The sequence below is a fragment of the Homo sapiens genome, chromosome 7, assembly GCF_000001405.40.
Source record: "Homo sapiens chromosome 7, GRCh38.p14 Primary Assembly".
Classification (NCBI taxonomy): domain Eukaryota; kingdom Metazoa; phylum Chordata; class Mammalia; order Primates; family Hominidae; genus Homo; species Homo sapiens.
In genome coordinates this window covers 131,581,486-131,590,402 of record NC_000007.14, presented here as the reverse complement: position 1 = coordinate 131,590,402, position 8,917 = coordinate 131,581,486, and the positions used below count along the sequence as shown (strand labels likewise).

The following is an 8,917-nucleotide window of genomic DNA, read 5'->3' as shown; positions in this document are numbered from 1 at the left end:
GGTATAAGTGCAGATTTCTTACATGCATATACTTCGCCGTGTAGCCTGGGCTTCTAGCATACCCATCACCTGAATAGTGCACATTGTACACAGCAGGTAAGTTCTCATCGCTCACCCTCCTCCCACCCTCCCACCTTTTGGAGTCTCCAATGTCCATTATTACACCCTGTATGTCCATATGTACCCATCGTTTAGCTCCCACTTATAAGTGAGAATACATGGTATTTGACTTTCTGTTTCTGAGTTATTTCACTTAGGACAATGGCCTCTAGTTCCATCCAGGTTGCTGCAAAAGGTATGATGGCATTCTTTTTTTTTTTTTTTTTTTTGAGATGGAGTCTCTCTCTGTTGCCCAGACTAGAGTGCAATGGCGCAATCTCGGCTCGCTGCAACCTCCACCTCCCGAGTTCAAGCAATTCTCCTGCATCAGCCTCCTGAGTAGCTGGAGCTACAGGCATGCACCACCATGCCCAGAAAAATACTAATTTTTCTATTTTTAGTACAGACAAGGTTTCACCATATTGGCCAGGATGGTCTCCATCTCTTGACCTCGTGATCCACCCGCCTCGGCCTCCCAGAGTGTTGGGATTACAGGCATGAGCCACCACGCCCAGCCTGATTTCATTCTTTCCTGTGGCTGAGTAGTATACCATTTTCTTTATCCAATCCTCTGTTGATGGACGTTTAGGCAGATTCCACATCTTTGTTATTGTGAATAGTGCTGCAATAAACATATGAGTGCAGGCATCTTTTTAATATAATAATTTATTTCCCTTTGGATAGATACCTAGCAGTGGTATCGCTGGATTGAATGGTAGTTCTATTTTGAGTTTTTTGAGAAATCTCCATACTGTTTTTCACAAAGGTTGTACTAATTTACATTCCCACCAACAGCGTGTAAGTGTTCCCTTTTCTTCACATCCTCACCAACATCTGTTGCTTTTTGACCTTTTCATAATAGCCATTCTGACTGATGTAAGATGGCATCTCATTGTGGCTTTAATTTGCATTTCCCTTATGATTAGTGAGGTTGAGCATTTTTTCATATGTTTGTTGGCCACTTACTTTTATGTCTTCTTTTGAGAAATATCTGTTCATGTCCTTTGTGCGCTTTTTCAATGGGGCTGTTTTTTTCTTGTTGAGCTGTTTGAGTTCCCTATAGATTCCGGATATTAGTCCTTTTGTCAGATGCATGGTTTGCAAATAATCTTTCCTATTCTGTATGTTGTCCATTTACTGTGTTGATTATTTCTTTTGCTATGCAGAAGCTTTTTAGTTTAATTAAGTCTCATTTGTCTATTTTTGTTTTGTTGCATTTGCCTCATAAATATTTGTTGTTATTATTGTAGTCTAGTCAGGAGGAATAAAAACCCAAACTGAGGTGGGACAGTAAGAAGAGACAGTGACAAGGAAGAAGGAACAGAACAAATGCAGTCAGTGATTGGACTTAGGGAGTGGAGAACAGGGGAGCCTGGGGAAGGCCTGGTTTCTTAGCCTGGGTGCAGGCAGGGTGGCAGGAAGGCTGGGATCAGAGGCATAGAACCATTGTGGCCATGAACCTGTGAAATACTCTTTTAAACTCTTCAGCCTAAGTGGCTGATGAACGTGGAGCAATGGAAAAATACCTGTAGCAGCGCAGAACAGAAGTGAAGCAGGTGCAGGGAGGGGCAGAGCCTCCCCAGCTGGCCCAGAGAGGGCTTCCAGAGTGAGAGGTGCTTAGTCTGGCCCAGCACAACTGGTCTGGGTCCTTGGAGAGTTCCAGCCCCGTGCGGGGGGCAGCACCCATCCACCATGCTAAGCCTAGGATGGATGCATGTGCATGCAGATGTCCAGGGAGCTCCTAGGAGGGGCTGGGGAAGGTGGCAGGGCAGAGGGTGTGGGCAGGGACACTGCCAGTAAAGGTGTCTGGGACCCATCCCTCAAGGACAGAGATGCTTTCTAGGGTGGAGAGGATGGGCAGAGCCATCCCCAGAGAGGAAGCTGTGTAAACGCAGGCCCGGACCCAGGAAAACACCCAGCCTGTGCAGAGGAGACCAGGAGTCCCCTGAGAGGGCGAGGGGGCAAGAAAGGCTGGGACTGAATTGTGAAGGCTCCCATGACAGACACTGTCAGGCCTCTGAGCCCAAGCTAAGCCATCATATCTCCTGCGACCTGCACATATACATCCAGTTGGCCTGAAGCAAGTGAAGAATCACAAAAGAAGTGAAAATGACCAGTTCCTGTCTTCACTGATGGCATTCCACCATTGTGATTTGTTCCTGCCGCACCTTAACTGAGCGATTAACCTTGTGAAATCCCTTCTCCTGGCTCAGAAGCTCGCCCACTGAGCACCTTGTGATCCCTGCCCCTGCCCGCAAGAGAAAAATCCCCTTTGACTGTAATTTTCCTCTACCCACCCAAATCCTATAAAACGGCCCCACCCCTGTCTCCCTTCGCTGACTCTCTTTTCAGACTCAGCCCACCTGCACCCAGGTGATTAAAAAGCTTTATTGCTCACACAAAGCCTGTTTGGTGGTCTCTTTACACAGACACGCATGACAGACACCACACGCTCACACCACACACACACTCCACACACACCACACACACTCCACAGACACCACACACACCACACATACCACACACACCACACCACACACCCACACTACACACACATACCACACGCCACACATACACACACTGCACCACTGCACCACACACTCACACTACACACACACGTCATGCACACACTGCAGCACAACACACACAGCACACACACCACACTCTGCACAACACATTCATGCCACCCACTCACACCATATACTCAGACCACACACACATTGCAGCACCACACACACACCACAGCACACCACACCACATACACCACACTCTGCATCACACACTCACACCACACATATACACGCTGCACCACACACTAAACATACCACAGACCGAACACACTGCACTACACACACTACATACAGACCACACGCCACACACACACTGCGCCACACACTCACACTACACACACACACCACACACACGCTGCACCACACCCTCACACCACACACTCAGACCACACACACATTGCAGCACCACACACACCACACACACATATGCCACACCACACACTTACACTACACATACACACCACACACACCACACACATGCTGCACCTCACAAACACTACACACACCACACTCTGCACCACACACTCACACCACACATATATATGCTGCACCACATACTTACACTACACACACCACACTCATCACACACACTGCACCACACACTCACACCATACACACTATACCACACACACTATGCCACACTCAGACCACACACACACACTGGACCACACATACCATACACTGGACCACAGACACACACATAATGCACCACACACATTTCACACACACAACACCCACACATTTCACACACATAGCATTTGCACATACACATACACCACCTACACACTACACATGCACATTACATCCTTAACCACCTGCACACGTGACAAACTCCACCTATACACTACCCATGCCCACAAGACCACCCTCTCATGCACATACGACCACACACACACACACACACACACACACACACATACTGCACCACGCTGGAGTTATGCCTCCAATAAATGTGAGCACTGACTTGTGAACAACCTGAATGAATAAATGGTAAAAGGCTTTCAGCCGCTGGTGCCACTTGTGGGCATTCAGACCCCAAATAAGGTTTGCATCTCCTGGATTTGGGGAGACCTCAGGGAACTCCGTCCTCACTTCAATCAGCATCACAGGACCAGGACTTCTCTCTGCCACTTGTGACCAGGCCAGGGCAGAAGCTGCCCCTCCCAGCTGGAGTTCCAGCCTCACGTGCCTGCTCCAGCCCCTCCTATCTCCCTCTGACGCACTTTGGCACCTTCCTGTCTTGAAGGACCCTGCCCCCAAAGGGCCCCCTCCTGCCTCTCCTTGGATAAGCTCAGGTTATCTGTCCATCTGCTGGCCACTGGCCTGTTTATCTTCTTAGTGCTTTCTTCCTGAAATAGCTCGGGGTTATCTAAGCTGCCAGTGTGGCCCCGCCTGCCTGACAGCCACCTCCACCCCTCCAGGGAGATTGGTCACTCAACCTGGGCAGTCCTTCTCCTTTAATCCAGACCTGAATTCCACAGTTACTAGACCAAGCTGGAGCCCTTCCTGGGGAGGCCCCGCACCTCCACCTCCATCAGGTTCCGCAACTGCCATGCATGTCCAGGACAGTACCTGATGGCTTCTGTCCTCCCTGGGGGAGGTGGTCAGGGCTCGTGAGCTGTCCAGTTACCCCTTAAAGTTGCCAAACTCAAAGCCAAGCTCATCCGAAATCCTCTACCTCTCCTACATTGCCATTCGAGCAGTCACGACAAAGACCTGGTGTCCAGTAGCTCACTAGGGTGACTACAGCTAACGTCAGTTGATTGTCCACTTTAACTTAGCAAGTTAGCCAGGCAGGTGACAGGCACCTGCAGTCCCAGCTACTCAGGAAACTGAGGTAAGAGTATTGCTTGAGCCTAGGAGGTTGAGGCTGCAGTGGGCCATAATTGCGCCACTGCACTTCAGCCTGGACAACAGAGAAAGACCCTTTCTCCAAAAAACTAAAATAGCTAGAATTTGATCATTCAAGTGTTCCTAACATGAAGGAAAAATAAATATTTAATGTGATAGATATTCCAATTACTCTGATTTGATCATCTGAATGATCAAACTATCACATATACCCTGAAAACACATATACTCATTACGAGCCACCATGCTCGGCTGATTTTTATTTTTTATTTCTTTATTTTTTTTTTTTGAGACTGAGTTTCGTTCTTGTTGCCCAGGATGGAGTGCAATGGCGCGATCTCGGCACACCACAACTTCCGCCTCCCGGTTTCAAGCAATTCTCCTGCTTCAGCCTCCCGAGTAGCTGGGATTACAAGCATGCACCACCACGCCCAGCTAACTTTGTATTTTTAGTAGAGACGGGGTTTCTCCATGTTGAGGCTGGTCTCGAACTCCTGACCTCAGGTGATCCACCCACCTCGGTCTCCCAAAGTGCTGGGATTACAGGCGTGAGCCACCGTGGCTGGCTTGATTTTTTTTGAATTTTTATTAAAGACAAGGTCGTGCTTTGTTGCCCAGGCTGGTTTCAAACTCCTGGCCTCAGGCGAGCCTCTTGCCTTGGGCTCCCAAAGTGCTGGGATTACAGGTGTGAACCACTGCATCGGCCCTAAGTATGCTTCTTTATTTATTTGAGACAGGGTCTGGCTCTGTCTCCCAAGCTGGAGTGCAACAGCATGATCTTGGCTCACCACAGCCTGGAACTCCCATGCTCAAGTGATCCTCCCACCTCAGCCTCCCTAGTAGCTAGGACTACAGGCATGCACCACCATGACTGGCTAATATTTTTGGATTTTTTGTAGAGGCAGGGTTTCACCATATTACCTAGCCTGGTCTGGAACTCCTGAGCTCAAGCAATCTGACCACATTGGCCTCCAGAAGTGCTGGGATTACAGGTGTGAGCCACAGCACACGGCCCAAGCATGCTTCTTTAAAACAACAACAAGGCTGGACGTCGTGGCTCACACCTGTAATTCCAGCACTTTGGCAATCGGAGGTGGGTGTTTCACGTGAGGTCAGGAGTTCGAGATCAACCTGGCCTACATGGTGAAACCCTGTGTCTACTAAAAATAGAAAAATTAGCCGGGCGTGGTGGCAGTCACCTGTAATCCCAGCTACTCGGGAGGCTGAGGCAGGAGAATTGCTTGATCCTGGGAGGCAGAGGTTGCAGTGAGCTGAGATCACACCACTGCACTGCACTCCAGCCTGGGCGACAGAACGAGACTGTATCTCAAAAATAAAATAAGATAAAAATAAAACAACAACACCTTTCCGAGACTCCACAGTAAAATCTCAGTCACCTTCCGGAGCCCTTGCCACCACAGCAGTGCCCCTCATCAGCACCACTGCCCAAGCCCAGGCCCTCGGTCCTTCCAGGCCACAGTCCTCAGACAGCCTCCCCATGGGCACTGGGATTCCAAGTCTCCTACACTGAGGCGTCACAGAAATAGACTTATGCTATCATTTGCTCTCGGCACTTCCCTGCTTGAGAACTTTCTATGGCTCCCTGTTTCTGGCTGCATCAAGTCTGAACACCTGTGTCTGGCTCTCAAGGCTCACTTCCACTTGTCTAACATCAAATCCCATGACTCTTAAGTCAGTAACCCCCACACAAACGTGCTCTTGGGGCCTCTATGCCTCTGCCTGAGCCGGCAATATTTCCTCTACCTTGTTAAGACTTCCTCCCACTCCAAGTCCTAGTTTTGTTAAATCCTCTTCCAGCCTTCCCATCATTCATTGGTTCAGCTTATTTTATTTTATTTATTTATTTGAGACAGAGACTCACTCTGTTGCCCGGGCTGGAGTTCAGTGGCACAATCTTGTCTCACAGCAACCTCTACCTCCCAGGTTTAAGTGATCCCCTCACCTTAGCCTCCCTAGTAGCTGGGACTACAGGCACATGCCACCATGCTCACCCAACTTTTTTATATTTATATTTTTTAGAGTTGGAATCTCACTATATTACCCAGGCTGGTCTCCAACTGCTGGGTTCAAAAGATCCTTCCACTTTCGCCTCCCAGAGTGCTGGGATTATAGATGTGAGCCACCATGGCCGGCCAATTCAGCCAATTTTAACTGAGCACTTTCTATGGACCGATGTGGCAGGTGCTGCCTCTGACCAGCCTCGACTCTTAGTTCCAACAGCATGAGTCACTCCTTCCACACACTTGGGCACAGACCCGGGAGGTCTTATAATGTGCCACATTACAGGCTTTGCGTCCCACCAACCATGTCACAAGCTCGAGGGCAACAACCTTGTCTCCTACGTCTTCTGTGTCCCCCATGGCCCTGGCTCCTCCACTTGGGAACTTCACAAACCACAGGCTCTCGATTTTTCATTTGGAAGACTAGCACAGGGTTGTCAACTTTTTATTTTATCAAACAAACACATTTTTTTCCTTTTTTTTTTTTTTTTTTTTTTGAGACAGAGTTTCACTCTTGTTGCCCAGGCTGGAGTGCAATGGTGTGATCTCGGCTCACCACAATCTCTGCCTCCTGGGCTCAAGCGATTCTCCTGCCTCAGCCTCCCAAGTAGCTGGGATTACAGGCATGTGCCACCACCCCCAGCTAATTTTGTATTTTTAGTAGAGACGGGGTTTCTCCATGTTGGTCAGGCTGGTCTCGAACTCCCTACCTCAGGTGACCCGCCCGCCTCGGCCTCCCAAATTGCTGGGATTACAGGCATGAGCCACCGCACCCGGCCCAAACAAACACATTTTTTAAATTACTGTGTTGTCATAAACAAAGTCACATTTTAACACTAAGAAAGGAGAAAGAACATAATCCTAGAATAAACTTTTGAAATAACGCTATACTGCTAAGCTTATTCAATTTCAAAAGTTGAATACACAACTTTATTTATTCAATTTCAAAAGTGGAATAAACAACTTTTGAAACTGAATAAGCTTAGCAGTATAGAAAAATTCAACATATTTTTCTTTTTCTTTGTTTCAGAAAATCTCAGAAAAAGAGGACAGTCTTTTCCATGGAATACATTTAGCAAGATGGAAGATTCATTACATGTCTTTTCTTTTTCAGTTCCCAGGGGACAGGTGACCACTTTATCAATGTCCATCCCAGCATTTGGGAGCCACTGTCGACAGCCCCTCACCAGGGCTGAGCACAGCTCAAGTGAGTGGAGTAGTCATTTGATCTCTTGCTTTGGTTATTGGCAGGGGAAGCTATCCTGAGTGTCCTCTCACCAGATCAGGACTGGGATCCAGGGACATGACTAGTCCAGGCAGTGCAGCGGATGACCCCACACCCAGCTGTCCATCCCCTTAGACTCTGTCTCAAACATTTGTCTTTTTTTTTTTTTTTTTTTTTTTTTTTTTTGAGACAGAGCCTTACTCTGTTGCCCAGGCTGGCTGGAGTACAATGGAGTGATCTTGGCTCACTGCAACTTCCGCCTCCTGGGTTCAAGCGATTCTCCTTCCGCAGCCTCCCAAGTAGCTGGGATTACAGGCATCCGCCACTATATCCAGCTAATGTTTGTATTTTTAGTAGAGACAGGGTTTCACCATGTTGGCCAGGCTGGTTTTGAACTGCTGACCTCAAGTGATCACCTGCCTCAGCCTCCCAAAGTGCTGTGATTACAGGTGTGAGCCACCCCACCCAGCCCATTTGTCCTGATTTTGTGCTCCTGGAAACTGGACTCTGTAGGCACGCAGGTGTTTGTGACACTCACTGCTTCCCACTCTTGGGCAGTGAAGCCCTTGAGTCTCAGAGGAGCCAGGAGGGAGGGGGCATCTGGAGTGGTGAACAGGAGCCGGAAGCAAATGAGTCCCAGACACAGACACCCCCACACCATGGCGGCACAGCTCCTGGGGTGAGAGCCCTGAGCTTCAGTCCCCTGCTGCTGGGGCTCTGCCCTCTCCTTTCCCTCTCTGAGTGGGGCCTCTTCAGGAGGGAAATGCAACCTAACTTTCCACTGCTCAGCCCTGCATCCCTGCAGCCGCTTCCAAAAAAAGCCATTGCTGCCTGGATGGGAGAGAGAGAGAGAATTTTTCCAAAGGATGTGTGTGTGCATTGTTGGGAGCAGCAAGCATTTCAGTGAACCCCGGGTCACAGCACAGCCTGACAAATGGCAGGAAGTTCAGGACTTGGGCCTGATAGTTTTTGCACAAAGGCCCCATAGCCCAGCCAGGTGAGCTGGGCCCGGGGACGGACACAGGGGCCACCACCCGGCACTTCCTGCCCTTTGTTGGCCCATGTGACAGCCTTCCCGGCGCTCCAAATGGCCTTTCTTTGGTGCCTGACTCCTGTGCTTTATTTATGGAGAGGAGCTCCTCAATATAGAA

General features: G+C 49.0%; 2 annotated features.

Moving 5' to 3' along the window:
• Positions 5,630-6,130: an enhancer, noted in NCBI's record as "H3K27ac hESC enhancer chr7:131269032-131269532 (GRCh37/hg19 assembly coordinates)". NCBI's record gives its function as "activates a minimal SCP1, AML or CMV promoter by ChIP-STARR-seq in primed H9 embryonic stem cells {active_cell/tissue: H9 hESC(primed)}" and the evidence as "EXISTENCE:reporter gene assay evidence [ECO:0000049][PMID:30033119]".
• Positions 8,090-8,694: an enhancer, noted in NCBI's record as "H3K27ac-H3K4me1 hESC enhancer chr7:131266468-131267072 (GRCh37/hg19 assembly coordinates)". NCBI's record gives its function as "activates a minimal SCP1, AML or CMV promoter by ChIP-STARR-seq in primed H9 embryonic stem cells {active_cell/tissue: H9 hESC(primed)}" and the evidence as "EXISTENCE:reporter gene assay evidence [ECO:0000049][PMID:30033119]".